This window comes from Homo sapiens, chromosome 2 (assembly GCF_000001405.40).
Source record: "Homo sapiens chromosome 2, GRCh38.p14 Primary Assembly".
NCBI classification, from domain to species: domain Eukaryota; kingdom Metazoa; phylum Chordata; class Mammalia; order Primates; family Hominidae; genus Homo; species Homo sapiens.
The window spans coordinates 237,198,534-237,224,877 of record NC_000002.12 but is presented as its reverse complement, the minus strand read 5'-3'; the positions used below and the strand labels follow the sequence as shown (position 1 = coordinate 237,224,877).

General features: G+C 45.0%; 1 long non-coding RNA gene across 4 annotated transcripts in view, besides 4 other annotated features; it reads right to left on the bottom strand.

Annotated features, from left to right (window-relative positions):
- The window catches only part of LOC105373953 (uncharacterized), a 44,371-nt gene extending 32,799 nt beyond the window's left edge, over positions 1-11,572 (bottom strand). For 3 of the 4 annotated variants that reach the window (XR_924035.3, XR_001739959.2, XR_001739960.2), the window contains exons 1-2: positions 10,421-11,572; positions 2,610-2,718 (exon numbers count right to left, since the gene is read on the bottom strand). This is a non-coding gene — a long non-coding RNA (uncharacterized LOC105373953). Of the gene's footprint in view, positions 1-2,609; positions 2,719-9,260; positions 9,350-10,420 lie in introns of those variants that run through there. The other variant, XR_924034.3, reaches the window with a different exon arrangement.
- Positions 6,172-6,702: an enhancer, noted in NCBI's record as "H3K27ac-H3K4me1 hESC enhancer chr2:238126819-238127349 (GRCh37/hg19 assembly coordinates)". NCBI's record gives its function as "activates a minimal SCP1, AML or CMV promoter by ChIP-STARR-seq in naive H9 embryonic stem cells {active_cell/tissue: H9 hESC(naive)}" and the evidence as "EXISTENCE:reporter gene assay evidence [ECO:0000049][PMID:30033119]".
- Positions 15,164-15,664: an enhancer, noted in NCBI's record as "H3K4me1 hESC enhancer chr2:238117857-238118357 (GRCh37/hg19 assembly coordinates)". NCBI's record gives its function as "activates a minimal SCP1, AML or CMV promoter by ChIP-STARR-seq in primed H9 embryonic stem cells {active_cell/tissue: H9 hESC(primed)}" and the evidence as "EXISTENCE:reporter gene assay evidence [ECO:0000049][PMID:30033119]".
- Positions 15,665-16,165: an enhancer, noted in NCBI's record as "H3K4me1 hESC enhancer chr2:238117356-238117856 (GRCh37/hg19 assembly coordinates)". NCBI's record gives its function as "activates a minimal SCP1, AML or CMV promoter by ChIP-STARR-seq in primed H9 embryonic stem cells {active_cell/tissue: H9 hESC(primed)}" and the evidence as "EXISTENCE:reporter gene assay evidence [ECO:0000049][PMID:30033119]".
- Positions 23,463-24,134: an enhancer, noted in NCBI's record as "H3K27ac-H3K4me1 hESC enhancer chr2:238109387-238110058 (GRCh37/hg19 assembly coordinates)". NCBI's record gives its function as "activates a minimal SCP1, AML or CMV promoter by ChIP-STARR-seq in primed H9 embryonic stem cells {active_cell/tissue: H9 hESC(primed)}" and the evidence as "EXISTENCE:reporter gene assay evidence [ECO:0000049][PMID:30033119]".

Genomic DNA, 26,344 nt, shown 5'->3' with positions numbered 1-26,344 from the left:
AGCCTAGAACGCCATTTTTACTTGAAAGAATAACTGAAAGACAAATTATGGTTGTTCGGACTTAGGTATTTGCCAGAGAGTTGCTAAAAGAATTAATGGTGTGGGCCTGTCACTTCAAGGAAAACAATTGACCATGAAAATTCGAACTTTCAAGCACAGATTAGAACTTTATACAATGGTCACTAACTCAAGTGACACCCTGGAACCCTGAATGAATCTTTGTTGACTGGCACATTTACTTGTAGAACTTATTTTCAACGTCTTAATGTTCCATGTTTTCCTAATAATTATCATCATATTATTCATATCTAAGTGAATTTTTAAAACCACAATTTATGTACATTTTCTATTCCTAGTCTCCAGGTCTAGTGGAGTCTGTTTGCCTGGGTTTGGTGAAAGCAGAAAATAATTTTGTTGCAGGGCAGGGTGAAAAAAACAGAATCTGTCCCAATAGCCTGGAGGGTGTGGAGACTGTCACCGTCCTTCCTGACTGAGGGGAGTTTGATGCCTAAATGAAAGATGCCATGAACATGAACATACGCATGCATGTACCTTTGTAGTCCAGTGATTTATTTTCCTTTGGGTATATACCCAGTAATGGGATTGCTGGGTCAAATGGTATTTCTGGTTCTAGATAAGTGGGAGCTGAGCAATGAGAACACATGGACACAGGGAGGGGAACAACACAGTAGGGCCTGCTGGTGGGTGGGTGGCGGGGAGGCAGAGCATTAGGAAAAATAGCTAATGCATGCTGGGCTTAATACCTAGGTGATGGGTTAATAGGTGCAGCAAACCACCTTGGCACACGTTTACCTATGTAACAAACCTGCACATCCTGCACATGTACCCAGGAACTTAAAATAAAAATACAAATTTTTTATAAAAGAAAGACGCCAGATGGGCTCAGTGATTAAGATGAGGGATTTCTTAGGCAGAGTCTGAGACGGGGGTCTTGTGGAAATGATCTATTGTAGGACCTGTGGGCAGAAAGGGAGTGAAGGAAGCCAAGAAGCCTGGAGAAGGGTGGAGCCAGGCAGGTTCTTGGCTGGGGTCCAGTTTCTGCCTGATCCCCGGGGAAGTTGGGGAGTGTGAATTGCACCACGGAGTGGTCCCACTGTGAGGGAGGGGGCCTGGGCTTTTGTCCTAGTCAGGCTTGGCCCTTGGCTGCCTTGTGTGTGGGAGAGTAATCTTCTGGGCCCAGAAGCTGTTACTGTCCCAAGGGAACTTCTCTGGAAATGGGCAGCTGTGAGCCCTCGGCAGCCAATGCTCACAGACCTAGAGGATGGGGCACCAGCCCAGAGATCTGGGCAGGGAACAGAGAGTATCCACTACAAGGTTTCAGCAGTCCCTGTTTTCTCTGAACAAAAGCCCACAACCCCAGAAGCCAGGATGACTTGGGGCAACCCGTGACACATAAGACCAACACATTCTTCTTAGGGGAATTCCTGCAGGGAATAGTTGAGGTCCTGGCTGCAATTCAAGAATGAGTTGCATCTTGGAGCTCCTTCATGAGGCCAGCCCTTGGGACCAAGAGTTCCTTTCTACCCTCGCCACTTCAAAGCCATCCTGGAAGAGTGCATGTGCATGTGTGTGTGCATGCAAGGTGCGTGGATGCATGTGTGCACATGCATCAGGTAGGCACATGGATGGCTTCTAGTCAAATAAAAAAATCCACACGACTGTATGGAGCTTCTCTGATCCATTTTGGCTGGCTAGATGTGATCATGGATTTTTATGTAAAATACAATTAGTTTTACGTATTGTTGCACAGTTTGGACCTATTAGAAAAGACCATTAAGGCTAAAAATAGAACCAGAAGAAAAAGGGGACTGACAGCAGACAAATCCCCTAACTTAATTCTCTCCGTGTAAGGTAATCTAGAAGGGTATGGAGGGAAATGTTAGGCAGGGGCCACTAGAAGGCAAAGGGATTTTTCTGCCTGGACATCTAAGTTTAAGAAAACATTGCTTGGGGGTGCGCTGGTGACAGCAGCTGCTGTACAAATGCAGCCATCCACCCCGGGTCAGTTTGCTTTTTGATTGATAACTTGGGAGCAGACTCAACACATCTGGACCATACACATCTGGAAAGAGAGTTGCCAAATTAAACATGCACTAACTTCACACTGTCTCCCAGATTGTTTAGTTTTGGGGAAACTGAGGAAGCAGTGGGAAATGGGGGCCCCAGCAGCTTTGTCTGAGCAGTTTGTTTTCCACTGAAAATCCAGGTCCCCAAAGAGGTTTTCAGGTATTTCAGTTTTGAGAACCGTAATATTGGAATACGATTGTTTTGGTGAAACCAACCTGACCGTAAATGAACTTTGCTTTCAAAGTTATCGTATGCCAAGATTCTTATTGTCTAGAGAGTAACGGCATGTAGAATGTTTAATCAATATGTAGTCAAGCCAATCAGTTTCTCATCAGACAAAAATGCTGTGGTAATATTCTGTCTCTGTGGTCTATTATTTTTCTTTACCCAATAAGATAAAAAATCTTTTTTCTTCATGAGCAAAATGGTCATTTCCCCAAGCACGTTATAAACAGGAAATGCACCATCTGCAGTCACTTTTTCTCCCTTGGGTCCGCAAACCACCTGCATTCCAAACTCACCAGGCTGCACTCTGGGACGTTGCCACGCTTGCTAAGGGAAAGTTTGGCTTTCCGTGGGGATGTTTTGTGAAGAGATGACAGCGAGCTCCCAAAGATGCCAATTTCAATACTAAAGAGAAAAAAGAAACATGATCTTTTAAAAGAAACAATATAAATTTCACTAGATACCAACCCTTCAACTGAATAAAATTAGTAAAATTGATCTCCACAGCTAACATTTGCAATCACTGTGCTAAGCAAGTTACTCAGGTTAACTGAGTTCACCTCTACAAGCTCCTATGAGTTAAGTCTGCTTGTTATCCTCCTTTTTGAGATGAGAACCGGAGGCACAGAAGAGGTTATTCAAGCCAGAAGTGGCAGAGAGAGATTTGAACCCAGACAGTCTGACTCCAGCAATGACCTATGTTCCTATTAGGCTCCTAGAGTCAGGGGCACTGGCCCTTATGTGCAGAGAAGGGTGTGGGTCCAGGTTCTCCAGCCAGGTAGACCGTCTCCCCAGCCACTCTCTGGCTGTGTGTTGTGTAGGGCAGCACATTTGGAGCCTCACAGAACACAGAGACTCACAGAACAGAGCCTGGGAAGTGGAACAGCCTTCAGACACAACGAGAGAGAGAGAGTGCCACCGCCTGCGGGAGGGTCGCCACTTCCCCTTCTGAGCAGAGCTTGGGTGGATCAGGTGGGGAAGGGTAGGGTCGTTATTCCCCATGTACTAGGAAGCCTGGTTGAGAGGACATGTAGCTTAGGGAGAGCCTGTGCTGGAGGAACAGGGGTGGGCGAGGGCCCCCACCCAGGTTCTGCCCCGCTACCAGCTGTGTGACCTGGGACAAAGCAGTTATCTTCTCTGGTCTTTGTTTTATTCCTCTATAACAGGAGAGGTTTGGTGGACAGAATCAGATGTAGATATAAGTACAGGTGAAGATAGGCCAACATGCAAAGACTCATCTAGACTAGATGATAAAACCCACTTTGTTACGGATTTGAGCAGGAAGGATTGCACCATGTATAGTGCTGGCAACTAATGAAGTATTTGGAAATGAGTTAATTCGGTCCTCGCCTTATATCAAACACTAAAGTCAACTCTAAATGTGTTAAAGAGCTACATGTTAAACAAAGAAAGAAAATAAATCCCTAAGAAACCATAAGAATTATAAGTAAATGTTAATTTCAGAATGGGAAAGGACATTATTCATAAAAGCAAAAAAAAAATTTACAAAAGGGAAAGATTTAAGTAATGCCTAAATGAAAAATTTAACCCAATAGAAATTTAGGGGAAATATTTATTAAAAAGGGTTTTAATGTCTCTTGACTATCTTTTAAATGGTTGCTAAGTTGATAGTAGCTTCATCTATCTTCTTATTGATTTTATTTGTAGCTCTTTGCTAAAGCACGAGGTTAAACCTCTTCAAGTGTTTGTTCATGCCCTTTACCTATTTTTTAATTGGTATATTCATCTTTTTTTAATTTAAAAATTCTTTGTATATTAAGGAAATTAATCATTTATTTATTATATACTGTAAAGAATTTTCTGTTAGTATATTGCTGTTGATTTAAAGTGTGAAAGTGTAGTTTAAAAAAAGTTCTTTTTTGCTAAATAATATGTATTTGAATCCACTTTTTTTCCTTTATACTTTTTGGTTTTGAAATCACTCTACTTCAGTATTATTAAAGGTTTCACCAGAAATGATTCCTCATAATTTTATGATTTTGTATTTTGCTTTTAAATATTTTACCCATCTGGAATTAATTTTGATTCTAAGAGTGAGCCAAAGATCTGGCTTTATATTTTTTTTTACAAAAGTCCCCCAAATATTTATTGAATAATTTTTTTCTCCTCATTTGAAAAGATACTTTTTATCATAAAGTACATCGTGACATACATATTTCTATTTCTGGACTCTCATTCTATTACATTGATCTGCCCATCTATTTCAGGGTCAGTTTTATACTCCTTTACTATCATTTGATAATGCACTTGAGTATTTGATAGGATAAATCTGATTTAAACGAGTCTCCTTTTTCCTCACCCGAGAATTTTCTTAACTCTTCTATGTCTCTTCTTCTTGTCATTCTAACATGCTAAATTCCTACTGGAATTTTTATTGCATTACTTGGAATTTGTGGATATATTTAGAGATTGCTAATATTCATAATAGAGACTTCTCTGCAAAAACAAGGGACACATTTTATTTTACACTTTACGGAATTTAAAAAATTAAAATGGTACATGCCCACGAGTTAAAAAGTCAAACACCACTACAATATTTAGCAGTCATTGAATGCACTTACACACATATTTTTCAATGGTATTCATACTACCATGTCTATTGTCTTCTTACTTGTGGTAAGTGAGTGAGGAGTGAATTATTTCAATAGATTCAGGGAAAATTTTTTAAACTTTTTTTTTTTTTTTTTTTTTGAGATGGAGTCTTGCTCTGCCGCCCGGGCTGGAGTGCAGTGGCGCGATCTCGGCTCACTGCAAGCTCCGCCTCCCGGGTTCACGCCATTCTCCTGCCTCAGCCTCCCGACTAGCTGGGACTACAGGCGCCCGCCACCACGCCCCGCTAATTTTTTGTATTTTTAGTAGAGACGGGGTTTCACCGCGTTAGCCAGGATGGTCTTGATCTCCTGACCTCGTGATCCTCCTGCCTCGGCCTCCCAAAGTGCTGGGATTACAGGCGTGAGCCACCGCGCCCGGCCTGGGAAAACTTTTAATAAAATTCAGCACTCACTTATGATAAAAACTCAGGAAGTGAGCAACAGAAGGAGACTTTTGCAATCTCTTAAAGGGCATCTAAGAGAAATCTAGTTTAGCTAGACTGACCCCCTATCATCCAAAAACGAGAGACAGAGGACTCAAATTACTAAAAGCAATGCTGAAGTGGGGAACATTACTACTGACCTCAGAGAAATTTAAAAAGTATATAAGGGAATCCTATACAAAACAGTATGCCAACACATTAAATGACCTAGATGAAATGAACCGATTCCTCAAAAGATACAAACTGCCAAAACTAAATGGAGAAGAAATTTTAAAAACCTGAATGTATCTATAACAAGTAAAGAGATTGAATTGGCAATCCAAAATTTTCCCACAAAGAATGTCCCAAGACTAGGTGGCCTCACTGGTGAATCCTCTCAAACGTTTAAAGAATTAACACCAATTCTTCACAAACTCTTCCAAAAAAATAGAATGTAATGGGTCATTACCCAATTCCTTCTATAAAGTCTGTGTTAATTGAAACCAGATGCAAATATCACAAGAAGAGAAAACTACAGATGAATATTCCTTATAAATATTGATGCTAATGTCTTAAAACCTAAAGCCAACACATATAGGAAGTGTTCTACACCATGACCAAGTGGGATTTATTCCAGAAATAGAATGCTGGCTTAACATGTAGCATGTCCACGTGGACCAGTTTTACATCTCTATTTCTTTGCTGAGACTTTGAGTTTCTTTGGTGAGACCTTGGAGTTTCACATTTGTTTCACATATGTTTGTAATCTCTCTTTGAGACATTTTACTGATGGCTGCTTTAAAATCTTTGTCAGATAATTCTAGTCTCTGCTATTTTGGTGTTGGAACCTATTGTTGTTTTTTAATCGGTTTAAGATCTTCCCGGTTCTCTGAGAAATTTTTGATTGAAACCTAAACATTTTGGGCATTTTCTTTGAGACGGTGAATCTTATTTAAATTTTCTGTTTGAGCAAGTTCCTCTGACACTGCTCTGGCAGAGGCAGTGGGTGGGGGCGCCTCATTCCTGCCAGGTGGGGGGTAGAAGGACAGGTTCCCCACTGAGCCTCCTTTCATTCCTGAGGGTGGGGGTTGTCTTTTCTGATAGGCGGAGGTGGGAGTTCTAGCTTCCTGTTGTATCTCCACTAAAACCTCCCTGACTGGGAGAAGTCAGAATGCTGACTTCTGCTGGTTACTGCTTGAGTGCGTGTGGCCTCCACTGACAAAGGGACGTGAGGGGTGGCCCCATTACTTCTGGGTGGGGTTGAAAGCTCTGCCTATCCACCAGGCCTCCCTGGACACCACTCCAGCAGGGGAGGGAATGGGCACTGCGTTATTGCTGGTGGTGGCAGGAAACCCAGTTCCCCATTGGGCCTTCTCTGCCACCACTGCATGGGAGACCAAGGTGCCTCCTTACAGCCTGGCAAGCCAGGGTAGAAGCCTAGGTTCCTGACTCAGATTTTGCTGGCGCCATTGGGAGAAGGACCACAGGTCTTTGTTCCTGATATTTGGCTGCTGAAGAGCAGCTATTTACTACAAGCTTTCAGTTTTTCCCCCTTTCCTTGGGCTAGAGAAAGCAGGCTGTTTGGAAGGCTCTTTCTGCCTGTGCCCATTAGAGTTTTTAGCTTGCAGCTTCTCCGGCACCAAGTTGGATATGTGAAGCAAAAAGAAAACCCAGGGAACTCAGTGCCATACAGCTCTAAAGTCCCCGGCCAATCTGCAGTCTTCTCTCCACTGTTTGAAGTCTTCTTATATTCAGTTTACATCCAACACCCAGGGATTTAGTTGGACTTAGAGGAACAGAGAGAAGCATGAAGGGAGAAAAGTCTTCCACTCTCAGGTTTTAATTGAGCATTTCATATGATTGCATTTTATCTCCTCTTGTGATTTATCATTTATACTTCTTTTTACAACTTTTTAGTAGTTACTCTTGGGTTTACTATATATGTATATTTAAATAATCCACGGCCACCTTTAAGTAACACCGTACCACTTCATGTGAATGCAGGTAACTTGTAGCCAAGCATCCCCAATTTTGACTATTGTTGTCATTCCTTTCTCTTACCCACTGACATGGTTTGGCTGTGCCCCGACCCAAATCTCACCTTGAATTGTAATAATCCCCACATGTCGTGGGAGGGACCTGGTGGGAGGTAATTGAATAATGGGGGTGGGTCTTTCCTGTGCTGTTCTCATGATAGTGAATAAGTCTCACGAGATCTGATGGTTTTATAAAGGGAAGTTCCCCTGTGCAAGCTCTCTTGCCTGCCACCATGTAAAACATGACTTTGTTCCTCCTTCACCTTCTGCCATGATTGCAAGGCCTTCCCAGCCATGTGGAACTGTGAGTCAATTAAACGTCTTTCCTTTATAAATTACCCAGTCTCGGGTATGTGTTTATTAGCAGCATGAGAACAGACTAATACCCCCACATTATAAAAACCAGATACATTGCTATAATTATAACTTTAAACAAATAATTATCTTTTTAATCAATTAAGAATAAGAATAGGAAAGCTCAAGATTTTATTTTAGATTCATTTATTTTTTTCTCCAGCACTCTTCCCTTCCTTATATAGTTCCAACTTTCTGATCAAGGTTTAATATTTCCTGCAGGGCAGGTCTGCAGGCCATTAATTTTCTCAGTTTTTGTTTGTCTGAGAAAGTCTTTATTTCTCCTTAATTTTTGAAGGATAATTTTGCTGGGCATAAAGTTCTAGGTTGGGCTATTTCTTTCTTTCAATACTTTCAAGATTTCCTAAGTATAGTGTCCCAGATGGACCAGAAGTAGAATTGCCAAGTCATAAGGTCTGCCCATCTTCAACGCTGACCTGCTTTGCCAAATCGCACACGAAAAGGTTTTATCAATCTACACTTCAGCCAACAATATACAGTCATGCCTCACTCAATGATGAGAATATGTTCTGCAAAATGTGTTGTTAGGCGATTTTGTCATTGTGTGAACATTATAGAGTGTACTTACACAAACCTAGAAGGTACAGTCTATTACACACCTCGGCTCTATGGTATAGCCTCTTGCTCCTAGGCTACAAAAGTGCATGGCATGTTAGCATGCTGAACACTGCAGGCAACTGTGATACAATGATGAGTATATGTGTATCTAAACATAACTAAATGTAGAAAATGTACAGTAAAAATATAGTATAAAAGATAAAAAATGGTACACCTGTATAGGGCACTTACCATGAATGGAGCTTGTAGGACTGGAGGTTGCTCTGGGTGAGTCAGTGAGTCCTAGGACACAACTGTATCTACACTACGGTAGACTTTATAGGCACTGTATCCTTAGGCTACACTCAGTTTATTAAAATTTTTTTCTTTCTTCAATAATAAATTAACCTCAGCTTTCTGTAACTTTTGGCTTCATAAACTTTTTTGTTTTTTGTTTTTGTTTTTGTTTTTGAGATGGAGTCTTGCTCTGTTACCCAGGTTAGAGTGGGACAATCTAGGCTCACTGCAACATCCGTCTCCCAGGTTCAAGTGATTCTCTTGTCTCAGCCTCACGAGTAGCTGGGATTATAAGCGTCTGCCACCACACCCAGCTAAGTTTTATATTTTTAGTAGAGATGGGGTTTTACCATGTTGGCCAGGCTGGTCTCGAACTCCTGACCTCGTGATCTGACCACTTTGGCCTCCCAAAGTTCTGGGATTACATGCGTGAGCCACCACACCTGGCATTCACAAACTTTTTAACTTTGTTTTAAGATTTTTGGCTCTTTTCTAATAACACCTAGTTTAAAACATAAACACATTGTATAGCCATGTAAAAATATTTTTTCTTTATGCTCCTATTCTATAACTTTTTTTCTATTTAAATATTTTTATTTTATTTTTACTTTTAAAACTGTTTTTTGTCAAAAATGAAGCCAAAAACACACATATTAGCCTAGGCTTACACAGGGTCAGGGTCATCCATATCACTGTCTTCCACCTCCACCTCTTGTTCCATTGGAAGGTCTTCAGGGCAATAACACACATGGAGCTGTCACCTCCTATGATGACAATGCCTTCTTCTGGATACCTCCTGAAGGGCCCGTTGAGGCTGTTTTACAGTAACTTTTTTTTATAAGTAGAAAAAGAACACTCTAAAACAACAATAAAACATGTAGTATAGTAAATACTAGGCTGTAGGATTTTTGAGCTCCATTATAATCCTATAAGACCGCCATTGTATATGTGGCCTGTTGTTGAGCAAAATTGTGTCATTTGGTGCAAGACTGTGCCTAAGTTCTACTCCCACACACATCACAAAACCTTGTTCAGGACTATTAGTTTTAGCCATCTGATGGGGTGCAATTGTGTCTTATTGATGTCATTAGCATTTCCTCAATTAGTAGGAAGTTAATCCAAATTTTCTTTTCTCATGAATCACCTACTCACCTCCTGAGGTCATTTTGGATTGCTTAACTTTTTCTGGTTGATTTGTAAGAATTTTTATACATTTTTGCATATCAATCTTTTGTCAGTTGTTTACACTACAAATACCTTTTTCCAATCTGTAACTTGCCTTTTCTCTTCGTTTTGGTACAATGTTGTACCAATAGCATATGTACTATTGTTATACAATGTTTTGCATTTTCACGAAGTCTAATTTTTCATGTTTTTCCCTAATGGTTCGTGTTTTATATCTCATTTAAGAAATTATTTTCTTTTTCATGTTATTCATCATGTCTTTTTGCCATTACTAATTTAATCAGCTTTGGGGTGGTAATTTAATTATCATTTTGCTAAATCTTGAGTTTAATGCTTAATTTATTTTATTTTTTTACTTTTAGCAACAGTTGTTTAGGATAATTTTATTTTTTTTTCCATGTAACAGGGCTTTCTTTCTTTTTCTACTTACATTACGACATTGATTTTATTGCTTTATAGTCAGAAAATTTGGTCTGTGTTTTTCATATCTTTCTCTAAGCCCTCATCTAAATCATGGGATCTCAGCATTTTCTACCGCCCACATGGTAGAAGAGGCAAAGTTATAACCGCACATGTGTGTGTGCTTGCATGGAGAGAGAGAATGGTGAATGCCAGACCCTAAGGGGAGTCACATGCAACTTACAGTTTCTGCTGTGTGGTGCAGAAGAGGCTCACGTAGGCGTTCACAGTGACCCTGCCCACTCCAGAAGCAACTCAATCTGTGCCTGGAATTCAACTGACTGGTTAGCAAGTCACCCCTCAACATTCTCTCCCCATGTATTTATTTTTTGTTTTCCCAGCCCGGTACAATCCAGCTTTGGCCCTGAGAGGCTCTGCACGGGAGAAAACAGGACATTAATTGATGGCCATGTCTACTGTCTTCAGCAGGGAGCCCACTCTCAATTTCCCTCCACAGCTGGTTTGTTGGTCAGTCTTGCTGGTGATAAGCACCGCCCTATGGTAAAGGCAAAATAACCATAAGGCCTGAAATAGAAAATGGCCCACAGTTCCATCATGTGGACCTTCCTTAATTATTAAATTTCCCTAGAGACATTATAGTCTCAATCTTCCCTCCCCACTGGGAAATGAATGTCCTCCAAGAAAATCTCCCCTGCCCACAACCTCAGAGGAATTAACATCCCCCCGCCCCAACCAATGGCCTCTCCTGGATCACAACCCGCTGTGGCCTGTGCAGTGCCTCTTGCTCCTCCGCAGGCCAGGAGGCTCTGAGTCAGCCGTGCAGAGCGGGAGGGGTGTAGATGACAGGAGCGGCCTTGAGTCGTGCCTTGTGTTAATGCTGTCTCTAGGATACTGTATTTTCCCAAGGTCCTGAACCTCACAGAGTGATCTATATCCTGTTGCTTAATACATATTTATTGAAAATTAATGATGATAAGCAGCTGCTTTCTATGTCTGCCAAGTGATACATTTTCATAAGTCTCTTCTATTTTGAAAAGCAGCTGATTTATCCGTGAGAGACCTCCAAGTGTAAGATAATGGAGCTAAGGTTTCTTGGTGCTGTAAAACCCTTATGTTCAAACCTCCCCTGCTCCTCCGGTGTCACTCTGCCATGGCACAGCCCCAGGCTGCACTTCCAGCTCACACAGACCCTTGGTCAACCGTGAAGCCTCTCTGAAAACTTTATTTTCTTGAAAGTAGAAGATAGGAGAGGGTTACACTGCAGCCCTCAAAGCAAAAATATCAGCAAATATCTCCCTGCAGCATCTCTGTCCTTTCCCCAAGTGCCACATTGCACTCTTCTTTACTCCTCTTCCAAACACACACACACCATACATACCTTACACACACGTATCACATACACATCACACACGACACACATACCTTACACACATGCCACACACGTATCACACATGCATCTTACACACCATACATACCTTACACACATGCCACACATGTATCATGCACACATCACACACACCACACTTACCTTACACACACATCACACACCACACATACCTCACACACACGTATCTCACACACATCACACATGACACACATACCTTACACGCATGCCACACACGTATCACACATGCATCTTACACACCATACATACCTTACACACATGCCACACATGTATCATGCACACATCACACACCACACTTACCTTACACACACATCACACACACACCACACATACCTTACACACACGTATCTCACACACATCACACATGACACACATACCTTACACACATGCCACACACATATCACACATACATCACACACCATACACACCTTACACACATGTATCACACACATCACACACACCTTACACACACGTATTACACACACATCACACACAAGACACACATACCTTACACACATGCCACACACATACACACACCACACACCACACATACCTTACACAGATGCCACACACGTATCACACATATGTCACACACCACATACCTTACACACATACCACATACATATTACACACACATCACACACACCACCCATACCTTACACACATGCCACATATGTATTACATCACACACACCACACACACCACACATACCTTACACACATGTATCACACACATCACACACACCACACATACCTTACACACACGTATTACACACACATCACACACAAGACATACCTTACACACATGCCACACATGCATCACACACATCACACACATCACACCACACACACCACACATACCTTACACACATGTATCACACATCACACACACCACACATCTTACACACATATATCACACACATCACACACACCACACACCACACATACCTTATACACACGTATTACACACACATCACACACAAGACATACCTTACACACATGCCACACACATCACACACACCACACACACCTTACACAGATGCCACACACGTATCACACACATCACACACACCACACATACCTTACACACATGCCACACACATCACACACACCACACATACCACATACATATTACACACACATCACACACACCACCCATACCTTACACACATGCCACATACGTATTATGCACACATCACACACCACCCATACCTTACACACATGCCACACACGTATCACACACATCACACACACCACACATACCTCACACACATCACACACACCACACATACCTCATACACACATATCACACACATCACACACGAGACACACATACCTTACATGCCACATATGTGTTACACACACCCCACACATACCTTACACACATGCCACATATATATTACACACACATCACACACACCACCCATACCTTACACGCAAGCCACATACATATTACACACACATCACACACACCACCCATACCTTACACACATGCCAAATGTATGACACACACATCACACACACATCACACATACCTTACACATTACACACATGCCAGACACACAACACACAGACTACACATACCACACATAACATACACACACCACACACATGCCACACACGCAGCACACAACACACATGCACACGTGCATATGCACACAGGTTCTCCTAGCATTTGAGGTATCTAGTCCAAGACTCTTCCCCCAACTCCCGAACCCCATCCTCTCTACTTCAGCCTCACTCAGGAGAACAAAATGTTGGTAGCCATTAGGTCTGTGATCAACGCAATGGAATCACATCTTGGTTGAGGACCAGGTCCTAATTATCTCACAAAAATCCATGAGTAGAGTATATTGTATCTGTTAGCCTCGGTGTGTCATTAAGCATGGAAATCACACACAGTGCAGTGAGATGTCACATGGGATTGAGCCCGAATGAGGGAACAACAGCTTGGTGGCTCCTGTTCCACTCTTGGGAGTATAAAACCAAACCGTGCTCCGACCACGCTGGGCACATGTCGTCAGGACCTCCTGAGGCTGTGTCACAGGCACGTGTCCTCAACCTTGGCAAAATAAACTTTCAAAATTAACTGAGACCTATCTCAGATTTTCGGGGTTCACAGTAGCAAGGAAGTGGGGTCTGAGAGACGCCCCCATTAGACATAAAGACCTAAGGATTTGTCCTGGGAAGGGGCGTTGCCCAGAGCTGGCAGCCCCATGTCCCTGCTGCTGCGTCACAATGGCAGTGCTCCCATGCCCAAAGCTGAATGTGAGTGTGAATGACAAAAACAATCCCCATGACCTTCCTGGCTCCCTGATGAGCCCTGCTCCTCTTCTTGGATGCAGCCAGGCTCGCTCCAGCTCAGCAGCTTTGTACTGTCTGTTCTCTCCGCCAACAGTGCTCTTCCCTCAGCTGTATTTGCAGGACAAGCTCCCTCCCTTCCTCCATGTCCTTGCCCTTCCCCTCCAGCCCTTCGTGTCTCCCTTTCCTACTTTACTATCCTTCCTTTATACTTAGGATGCAATTAAAAGTAAATTAATGACTTCTTCCATGCCTTGTCTGTCTCAACCCCTAGAATGGGGAAGCAAGAGTTTTTGTCTGTTTTGTTCACAGCTATAACCCCAGAACCAAGAACAGTGCCTGACACACAGTCAGCACTCGGTAAATGCGGAATGAATGAATGAGTAACAACTCTGGAGCCTAATCATGGACAGTGTGAACCAGAGAGAGGGTCATGCTGGTGGCAGTGGACACTCAATTTGAGCTGTCAGTGGATAGCATCTCCTCACAGTGATCATACTTGCGTGATGATGGATGACTAGATGCCATGTATCTTTCCCACTGGGTGTTGGGGCTCACGCTTGAAGCCTCTTTGACTGTGTTCCAGGATAATTAGAGGAGGGACGGGCATGGCAAGTACGCAGTAGGAAAGATAATGTTCTAAGCGATTACTTGGACACATAAAGGAAATAAGATCATGTCTGTATTTTGAGAAAGTGGAGTGGGTTATGCTAGTTTATTACTCTCTCCTTATGTAATATTATGCTCAGCTCAATACCTTATACGTGGAAGTCCTCCTTCCTAATGGAGAATGACTGATTCAGAATGTTCAGTGTGGAAATAATTCCTTGGTTTTACCATGCGTGAAAACGAATAGCCTTGTATTTCCTTTACTCATCAGCATTTGGATCTGATTTTAATCAGCACACGATTCAAATTGCATCTTCTGTGCCCACAGATCAAGATTCCTGACTTGGGGGTGTTGTTGACTAACTCCCACAGTTGACCCTGAACCGGGTGTCAATGTTTCCTAGAATGTAGGTCATCGTTCTCCTTTCTTAACTTGGTCTTAGGTGCTGTCCCTGCAAAGAATCTCTCTTTTCACTGCTCTTCTGTGTCCAGGTCAGGACTGCCTGCCTTTTTATTGTTATCCTATTCTATACATATGTTCTCCCCTACCCAGAGGTTATAGTTGTATTGCTTCTTCTGAAAGAAAATGGACTGTTTTTAACGATATAGTCTAGGTCAGAGGAAAGAGGGTCAGAAGTGGTGGCAAGGATGATTTACCTTTTTCTGGAAGGAATCATCTTAAAAACCTTCCTGGCATTAGGAAAAATAGCTAATGGATGCTGGGCTAAATACCTAGGTGATGGGTTGATAGGCGCAGCAAACCACCACGGCACACGTTTACCTGTGTAACAAACCTGCACATCCTGCACATGTACCCCAGAACTTAAAACAAAAATTAAAAAAAAAAAATTCCTGAGGCTCACTCTCCTGTGTGCCTCATCAAAGAGCGCCCCCATCCAGCTCCGTGTTTCTCCTGAGGGGTGCACTGAGAAATCCCCTCCAGGTCAGCACCAACCTTGGGGCAAACGATTCTGGCATCTATGATCCGTCTTTAGGAATTCCTTCCTTTGCCTAGAGTGTCTCGCCCACATTAGGCCCAGTCCCTCCTGGGCTGTCTATGCTTCGAGTACACTGATTCCTCAATTGCTCCCACGGGAGGTGTCCGTGAGTTTCCTGCGTGAAGGGCACAGAACACTCTGGAGGAGGCAGGTGAGGGCCTTCACTAGGGGAGATGGGGACACGAGAGAGGCTGGGGCTGGGGCCAGCCCACCGTCCTGGGAACCTGTAGGCGGAAGACTCTGCTCCCTTCCCTCCTCCTTGCCAGCTCAGCCACGGGGCCTCCAGAATAACGAGAGACAGACCATCTCCAGGCTGGAGACTAAGATTTTTCCAGTCCCATAAAGGGGAAAATACAATCAAAAGCCGCAGATGACATTAGGTTTGGCGCATGTGTGTGACCACTAATCAAAGCCATGTGCAGTGCGAATACAACTTTAAAAAGCAAAACAATCTCCAATTTGTTTGCAAAGATGCAAGGCAATGTTGATGCTTACTGAGATGGCTAAGGGGACCAGGGACCTTCAGAGTCTGTGGTGGGGAGAACCCTGCTGTGTGCATACACGTATTTTATTGGCCTTGTTGGCATATGTTTGCAATTTTCAGAGATCATTTCCTCTTTCTTTCAGGGGGATATTTTTTTTTCATAAGACCTGCCTGTGATGTTTCTCTGCCGTGAATCATGTCTATATCCTCACAAAGGATAAAAACCAAAGCCACTAGAGCAGAGTCTTTGGATTTTTCTGAATATGGAAAGCAGCCATGCATTACATTGAAGCATATTCCAACGTCAGGGAACAGAGCACTGCTTCCTGTCCATGTCACCGCAAATTCTGTGCTGAGTGTTACTGCGCCAAAGGACATGTTAGGATGCCACAACGGTTCTCATCTGGTCCGTGATACTCACAGGCTGATGTAGTACACTAGAAAGGGAGGGCTCTTTCCAAGTTACAGAACTTATTTTGCAATATTTCCTGGGAAAGAATTCTGCTACAAGTTTTAATCAATGTAAGAAATGCTGTAACTACATTAAAGTAAACTGTACATGAAGCAGTGTGTGTCTGTGTGGTAGGGAAGAATTCTGTCGAAAATAAGATCTGTTCCATGTAGTACCGTGAAAATCCAAAATGCACCAGCAGCCCCTGAACCAAGTGTTTCCTGGGAATGTCAGTGCAGTGGGGGAAACCCTGCTGTCCAAATCTCTGCTTCCTCCTGCCTCCTCTTCCACAGTCTCATGAAGAGTGTCTCTAACTGAGCGTGCACGTGGTGCCTCCTGTGACAATACATTATTAGAATGGTTAGTGGAATAATACATATTGGTTGCATGCAATGGGGTAGATGAAACATCTCCTTTTGTGTCAAAAAAGAGTCCAGAAAAGAGGGATTATTTGCAGCTTTATAAGGAGCAGTTTCACAATCAGTTTGCGTGGGTTTTTATGTCAGTTTTATCTGGACTGAGGGGCCGGTGACTCCAGCCACATGGTGAGCACTGGTCTGGTTCATGCATCATAATCACAACACCATGAAGCTAATCGGTGACAGTGACACTGTTTGGCAGTGACCCTGCCCATTTCGCAACCTCGTTCCTCCACTTGAGTTCCCAGGCTCAGAGGAAACCATCATTCCATTGTACTCTTGGACTATAAAAAGTAGACTTTAATATGAGTGTGCGTACAACTCTCGACAAAAAAGAAACAGGATTTGACATGCTGTTTTGTAGCCCTTTCAATTCAGTAGAAAATTCTGCAGACAGCTCTCCAGGTGCAAGGTGTGCCTCCACATCAGCATGCGCATCGCCTGCCTGCCATCCCATCGCCCGGCTGCACTGCTCATTTGGTCAAAGCTGAAGGTTCAGGAGCCCCCCTCCATGGACCTCCCAAGGCTCTCTTGCTACTTTGTATTCCTAATTTTATGCTGTTTTCTTAAATAGGGGCTTCCTAACATGTATCCGCCTCATGCCCCACAAAAGATGTTTTCAGAGCCATTTTCCATTTGTTTATCTGCACCATGTAATTCCATTCCACTCCTTACCCTTTTTTTCTTCCCTGTTTTCAGGAAGCAACACGCCAGGTCCTGTCACCTGTCAATCACACTGGGAGAGTGCAACTTTTCTCTTTCAGTGTGGGGAAACAAGCAGTGCCCACCCACATGCAACAGGGGGGCCCCTGGGTGGGTTCAGCCGTGCTGACGATGTGGCTCCCAGGATGACATGGAGATCCTGTGTGCCCTCATTGGGGTAGGTAAAATAAAACAATATCTCTAATAGGAAAAACCCCTACTTGGAGGCTATATAGGTAGAGTCCCAGAATCAATGGTTCTTGACCCTGGCTCCACTGAAGCACGGGAAGCTTTAAAAACACCATACCCTGGTCATGCCCCAGAGCAAGCAAATCAGAATCCCCAGGCAGGGCCCAGGCATCAGCATTTTTAAACTCTCCAAGTGACGCCAGTGGGGAACCCAAAGTGAGAACCGTTTCTACACAGAGACTCCACCTGCTACAGAGGAGCTAGTGGTGTTCATAGCAGCCATGAGACACTGTGGCAGGATAGCGGAAGAAGGGACAAAAGGTCAGTGCAGAAGGCTCCCAGACCTGGTTCTCCACCCTCCGACTGAAGGTGCCCTTCTGAGCCTTCCCCAAGTTTTCTAGAAGGAAACCAAGAAAGAGGCTTTCCTGCTGGGAAGAAGAGAATGGACTGAAGATTTCTCATTCGGATATTCATGTACATGGACCACAGCCTCCTGTGTGTTGTTACAAAGCTTATGATTCTCTTAGGTGTTCTCTCTAGTTCTTAACAATGAGGACACCTGTGTTCCAGCCTTTGGAGTTGTGAAGTCTAGCCAACCTCAGAAAGCTCAGCCAATTCAAACAGATTTCATTCTAAAGTAGCATGGAACATTCTTCCTCTCCACCCAGAATTAGGGGTGTCTTCCCTTTGGTACAACCAATTATCAAAACAGCTTCTGATTGGTTTCAATCACCAGTGGGTTTGAAGCTTATTAATTGGTCACCGCTCTAGGCCTTTCCCCTGAGGACGATCCTGAAACCATCAAGCTGGGCAAATCCAGGGGCCATCCCCTTCCTTTTCCAATTACCTCCTCTGTGCAATTGCCTCTGTGAACACTAACTGGCACTGGCTGGTGGAGAATCCGTTCTCTAGACATTTGATATGTTACTCAACCCTTTGATTCATCTTGATTTTTTAGGATCATTAATAAAATAAAATAAAATAAAATAAAATAAAATTCCCCCAGAAAGAATGGAAACCCTCCCTGTGTGCTCTTTGATTTTTAAAGTAGGATGCAGAATCACATTTCCAGTCCATGGGGAACAGCCTCGGGTCTCCGGGCAACACTGCTAAGCAGAGAAAAAGCTTTGAATTACAAGGGTTTTAGTGCTGGTTTCAGAAAAATGTGGAAGCAGAGAGGCCAACTCGAGAACGGGCATGTTTCACTCAAAGCCCCATCTGAATCAAAAGCGTACGTGATAATGACTCCTTTTCAGCACTGTGGGTTTGGTGACTTTTCCAGTGAGGAGCTAGCTAGTTCATGGTGGGTTCTGTTCACAATGAATTAGGATTTAGAAACCAGCAGGAGGTGAGGTTTGACAGAAAACATTTGGTCACATTCATGCAAAATTACAGGAGTAATCGAAACGAGGCTTCATGGTGAGAATTTTCCATTTCCTTTAGAGGCAACATTAGATTCTTGCTAAAGAAAAGAGAAGGCACCCTTAATGACACCAGTGGGGTAATAAGTGGCTTCTTTTGCCTTCCTTTCATCATAGAAACTCGGATAATTTCCTAACGCTATCCAAGACAGCTGCAGTTTCCTACTGCACAGCTCCCAGAAGCCACAAAGAATGGCAAGTCTCACAATGCAGGACTTTCTCTGCAGCTCAAGGATCTCTCCCACGCCCTGTGCACAGGCGCAAACCCCTTCCTTGCAGGAATACTTCATTTCCTGGTATGTGGCTGAGCCAACAGAGCCAAAAGTCCAGATGTCACCCAACACTTACAAAAGCCGACCCGCATTCACAGCACCTGTGCTGGGTGCCGCAGGCCAGGGCTCCACCGCTCCAGAGAGATGCATCTTCACCATGTGCATGAAAGTCCAGGCTGGCTAGGGACTGCGGCACATGACTCCTTCATGCTTCCCTCCTGACACACCGACTCCATGCTGGGAATGAATTACTTTTTATTGCTGTCTGGGATCTTTTGCTTCCCCTCTGCCTTTTGTTGTTTCTTATATCAAGAGTGTCATGAATGGTGAGAGGGCCTCCCTCCCTCCACTTTTGGTGAGAGCAAGAAAATTATTATGCATGAGATGCCCAGGACACGACAGAGCCTGCAGACAGTTCCAGCCCCCCCATCCCCGGAGGAGATCTGTGATACAAATGAAAGAACAAAGCAAGGAAACCGACTTTGCAGATCAAGCCAAGAGGCTGAATGCCCCATACACCTGTGATCCTGACCCAAACTTCCCTGGGGGAAGTCAGTGCCTCCTCACGGAGCAGCACCTTCCACCTGTCCTCCAGTGTCACTGCGACATCAAGGCTCAGGGTTATACATGGAGTCCAGCCAAATGCAGAGGGTGTGGACTGTGGCAGGTCCAGGCCTTCCCTCCTGACCCGGGGTAGCTGGTGGGCTGGGAGAATTCAGCTCTCCAGTTCAGTGTGAAGGCCAACAGTGAAGCTATAGATTTGGGGATTGAGGTAGACTCAAAAAATGCTCCCCACGGCCAGATGCAGTGGCTCACACCTGTAATCCCAGCACTTTGGGAGGCTGAGACAGCGGGTAGATCACCTGAGGTCAGGAGTTCAAGACCAGCCTGGCCAGCATGGTTAAACACCATCTCTACTAAAAATACAAAAATTAGCTGGGCGTGGTGGCACGTACCTGTAGTCCCAGCTACTGAGGAGGCTGAGATAGGAGAATTGCTTGAACCCGGGAGGTAGGGGCTGCAGTGAGCTGAGATTGTACCACTACGCTCCAGCCTGGGACACAGAGTGAGACTCAGTTAAAAAAAATATATATATATACATATATATATATACACACACACACACACACACATATACACACACATATATCACACACATATATATACATGCATATATATACACGCATATATATATATATATATATATATATATATATAGAGAGAGAGAGAGAGAGAGAGAGAGAGAGAGAGAGAGAGAGAGAGAGAGAGTTCCTCCCAAAATTCCACATCCTAATCCCTGGAACCTGTGAATGTTACTTTGTGTGCTTCCCCTCACCCCCAAAATAAGGCTCTTTGCAGATGTGATTAAATTAAGCATCTTGAGATGGGGGGATTATCCTGGACTCACCAGGTGGGGTCTGAATGCAAACACAAGGATCCTTATAGGAGGGAGACACAGGGATACTTGATACGAGAGAGGAGAAGGCCACCTGAGCATGGAGGCAGAGGTTGGAGTGATGCAGGCATGAGCCAAGGAGCACTTGAAGTCACCAGAAGCTGACAGAGGCAGAGAGGAATCCTTCCCGTGACCCTCCTGGGGAGAACAATTCTAACACCTTGGGTTTAGCCTGCTGATCCTCATCATAGGCTTCTGGCCTCCACTATGATAGGAGAATAAACGTGTGTCATTTTAAGCCACCAAGTGTGGAGAAATTTGTTATGGAAGCTGCAGGATGCTAAGGAGGATCACACAGGATAGGTACCAGCATGGAGCATGGGGAGTTCACTTGCATTTGAGCGAATGATGGTGAGGATGCTACGGGAAAAAGCCAGTGTCAGAAATTGAGAGGTCACAGAAAGACAGAAAACAGGAGCAGGATTACAATCTCCCTCCTCAAGGGATCCAGCCCAATCCAGGTCTCCCTCTGATATTCTCAGGAGCCTGGTGATGGGCTCTGCATCCAACTGCCATGGCCCAAATCCTGGTTTCATCTCAACCCAGATGGGTGCACTCTAGGAAGCTGCATGGCCTCCTGGCCTCAGTCTGCCCTTGAGAGGAAGCTGGTGATACTAACAGCTCTTGTGAGCGCTTACGCAGCTGCTGAATGGCTAAACGCAGAAGGGAAAAGCGGCTCTTGTGAGATGGGAGCAGTAAAGTGATTTGCAGATGATAGAAGCAGCTGGTAGTGCCAAGGGATTGACTTTCAAGCAGCAGGAGTGACGGCTGGGAGGTGGCCTTGTGGAGAGAGGAAGCTACCGGTGCCACTTCATTTACAGCTCTGTCCAGAAAATTCTCTCCCTTCTCTCTCATGTCTCATGCCTTGGAGTCAGGAATTGGAGACTTTCACTGACCCCTCAAGGACTTCTATGGACCCTGCTTCCCCAAGATTCCACCTGGCTGGGCTAGAATTCCCCCCACAGGCTGCTAAACATGCCCCTGCCTGGTGCTGCCCACAAGAGGGCTGGCCTCTGCTTTCTGAACTCCCAGGCTTCGTACAGTGAGATGCAGTTAGCCACGCTTCTTCGTCCCAACAGCACGGTGAGGGTTAAGACCCAGCTGAGAGTTTCAGGCAACCCATGGAAAGGGCGTCACTGACCTTTGGGTATCTTAGATGTGGGCAAGGTGTGGACCCTGAGAAATGGAATGGGACAGGGCTGATGGGTCTGTAAGTGTGAGCTTCCTGTCTGAGGCTTGCGAGCCACAGGTCACCGCTCCACGTCCCCTGTCTGGGGAATGCTATCATCGCAGACTCATGGAAGATTGCTTTTCCTTGCCTGAAAGCAAAGCCATCTGAGCTCACTGCCCATTCGCTTTCCCCCTTCCTTGGAACTTGGGCAACTGCTCTTTGTCCCTTCGTTCTCTGGTGTTGAATTGCCTGGAAGCCTTTGGCAAAGGAGCTGAGGAAATATCCTTTGATTCCCAGAGATAATGGAATACCCATAATGTCCGCAGAAGGCTGCTCAGCTCTTAATTCAAATGCCAACAACATAAACACTTCCATTCTCTATGTTGAAGTCTTCAAAAGCAAAAATAGTTCTTCCTTAGGTCAGCAGTCCTTAGCTTGTGGTTGCACCCCCAGTGGGAAGTTCCAGTCACTTACAGAGTGGGAGGTGGGTGAAAGATTAGGAACAAATGTCCGGACCCTGTGGACTGGGAGAAATTCAGCTCCGCAGAGCCCCAGAGGCACTAAGGCTCAGTGTGACTCATCCCAGGGGCAGTGACAATAGCCAAAGGTCTGTGACCGCAAGGCAGCAAACCGGGTGACTCACCCTCAGGGCCTCCTGCTATCCACCCACAGCTTCTTGGTTATGGGTTCTCCCCTACCCCACCCCCAGAAGGGCCGGCCAGACAGGGTACCACCACATGCTATTTCCCACAGTTCCAAGACAGTACCCACGGCTCAGAGCCAGAGCCGGGCACGTGCATGAATGTTTTCAGATGACTTTTTTTTTTCCACTAAAGAGTTAAATGCTTGAAAGTAGAGTTCAGGCTTGGCCAACTCAGTTTAGAGCAAGAAATGGAAATGTTGTGGTTGTGTTTAAAGGGTAATTTTATTTCCCTCAGCGAAATAAGCCTGAGTATACCAGCCTTGGGAGGCCTGTGCAGGCCATTGAACTTCTAGAAACTTTAACAATCACCCTCGAAGGGCAATATTTCCTCTCCAGCCAGCCGGACTGGTCCTCCTAGGGCACTCCCAGAGCCCAGCTGCCTCACTGGTGGTGCGTGTCCTCCTGGAGGGAGGGAGACAGGGGCCCAGCTCCTCTGTAAAGACGGCCGAGGAATGCCTCAGGGTCCCTGTGGAGTCAGCTCAGTCCTCTGAGTTTTCTCACCCTGAGTCCTACCCGCACATTTGTATTTGTGAAAAGAGAAAAAAGGAAAGTCACTAACAAGGAGGAAGGCAGGTTCAATCCCTGCTTCCCTTCCCCCTTCCCTCTTATTATGTCTCCAGGTGCCACCACAGCTTGGAGGTGAAGCTTCCCAATGACCAGTGAGCAGAAGCCAGTGCTAACAAGGGAGGCAAAACTGGGACCAGGACCCTGGAAACATCACCTGGAAAAAGGGGCTTCTGAGGGGACCTGGGTGAGGCGCACACGGTGTCTGCTTCAGATTCTGAAGCTGCTCTGGGCTCAGGTGAAAGACAGCGTGGATGGTGTAGCGGGCAGTGGGATGCAGAGAGCCAGGTGTTCAGCATCCTAGCTCCAGGGTGACTCTTGCTCCAGTAGCACAGGCCTCCCGGCCAGCAGTGTTTGGTTGGTGAATGCTCTCGGACTTCCCTCTAAATCCTTGGAGACTTAAGACAGTGGCGGGCTTTGGTATTTGTGACTTTTTTCCAATGTCCCCCAACATTTTTGAAATACCTATTATATGCCAGATGTCGTTCTAGATGCTGGGGAAACAACGGCCACAACCAGAGTCCTACCATTATCGAGCTTATATTCTAGTCAGAAAAAACCATAGTAAAAGACAGCATGGTGGGTCAGTAAATTTCAGCATGTCTTTGTCAAAAGTCACACAGCTCCTTTGGAACTCTCTTGTCTTGCTCTCAGGGGCCCAGGAAGCCCTCCTCTCATAGGCTCAGAAGTGCCTGCTCTCACTGCCTGGCCTCTCACCACTCCCGGCACCTGGCAAGCAAAGTTGTGGCCAAGCCGGGGCATTGTCACAACCTGGCCAGGTGTGCACATGCTCAGGGCAGTGCTGACACACCAGACCCCTGCCACCTCGGCCTTCTCCGGACTTTGGGCACCAATGAGCATGGGAGAGAGGCCTAGGGGGCACCAAGGTGGCTAGACATGGGTCTGCAGGTGCCCTTGGCACGAACACTCTGGGCACTGTGGACAACATGATTGATGGCGGCAAGAGGCAGACAGGCTCCTTGGTGGAAAGGGGCTGGTTCCTGGTGAAGCCCCACCTTCAAACCAGGGATGGCCTGAAGCATGGAGGCCGGGCTGTCAGTTCCAGGTAGAGTCTGCAGACAGGAGTGAGAACTGATGGTGCTTTTTCCAGGCCTACCCCTAGCCACCCATGGACCAATCAGCATGCATTTCCTCCCTTCTGAGCCTGTAAAAACCATGAACTCAGCCAGACTAGAACAGAGGTCAGGACTACCAGCTGTGGAAAGGAGCTACCTACTGTGAGTCTCCTCTCTGTTGAGAGCTGGACACTCATCAGGAGGACCTGCCTGCAGAAAAGAGCTACCCACTTCGGGTCTCCTGAGAGCTGTTCTGTCACACAATGAAGCTCCTCTCCACCTTGCTCACCCTCCAGTTTTCCATGTACCTTATTCTTCCTGGACATGGGGCAAGAACTTGGAACCCACCAGATGGCAGGACTGAAAGAGCTGTAACACAAACAGGGCTGAAACACCCCCCCGCCCTGCTTGCCACATTGAGCAGGTGATGAGAGGAGAGCTAGAACCCTTCGGGGATCCCAGACCTAGGGGCTCCCCATGCCAGGGCTGTGACACCCTCTTTGGGGCTCTGCAGTTCCTGGCATCTCCAAGCTTCCAGGCACCACCATGTTCCCCTTGTCTAGATGCAGCTGCTCACAGCAGAAGCCACATACAGTATATCCGGTCCAGCTGCAGCCTCACATGGAGCTGACACCTGTGCTGTCACTATGCACCCTGTCACAGCAGCCAGTGTGCCTGGCTGTGTGCAGTGGCTGGACCCCATGTTTGCTCACACACCCTTTGCCACTCTGTGCCTGGCTTGCCCTAGGCAGGTGTGGAATCTGGGCCAGTAGCTTGGGCCAAGTGCAGCCTGCCAGGCTGAGTGGGCAGTAACAAGCCCAGTGGGCATGAGCAATACTCAGGCAGAAGGTGCCGCCAGCCACAGAGGTTTCTGGCTGGCAAAGCAACACCTTAAGGATCCTGTGACAACATCAAGGATAGAGAGAAAAGAATAACCAAGGATAATTCCCAGGTTTTTGGCTTGAGCAACTGTAAATTATAATTACATGAATAACAAAAAGTGGTGCCTGAAGTTGTTAGAGAAAATGTTAATTTCCCATATGTTAATTTTTAGGTTTGATTGTTATTCTTTACCAAGTCATTGATGACTCAGCATAGCTGCCATTGACACTGGGACCCTGTTGGGAAAAATGTGTTCTAAGAAAATCAGATTCCCTCCTCTAAGTCAAAGCAGTTAAGGTTAATTTGTAAAACACATCTCTGTGATAATGCAGCTGAATTATGAGTAACTCTTTTAACGAAAGCAAGCCTGGAAGGAACAGATCAATCCTCCAACCTCCAGGAGCTGTTGCTTAACTTCTTTACCCATCTGCTTTCCCTCTCCAAAACCAAAGGTTTAGTTTGATTTCTAACTAAAAGGCAAATTGAGTTAGTGTCTCACACACCCCTCCACTAGATAAGTTAATAAATAGTAAAAGAGCCCTAATTTAAAAACAGAGAGGACAGAGACAAGCTGGATAAAGTCCAGAATGAGTGATGGAGAGTGGACCCAAGTGCTGAGGTCCTTCTTATCCTTATAAACCTGTCCCCAACCCAGAAAACAAGGCCCTTCTTCTTGTTGGAGGCTTAGAAATATTTCTGCTGACACCTGGACTTGATGAGGAGGAAATAGCATGGGAGGAGGCAGTCTGCAGTTGTGGAAAATGCATGGAATTTGGAGCCAGACATAATTGGGTTCAATCCTGAGCTCTGCCTCTTATCGGTGATATTTTTGAAAAAGTAACTCAACTTCTCTGAGCCTCATCTGCAAATCCAGGTTATACAACAGACCTTATGGGCTGTTATCATGACTCATGGGTGTGTATACAAAGTACTTAGCATAGTGCCTGTCATGTTTGAATAACTAATAAATACTCCAACTCCACTCCAGACCCCCCAAAGAACTGCAAATTAATGACAGAAATCTAGAGATTGTGGAACACAGGAG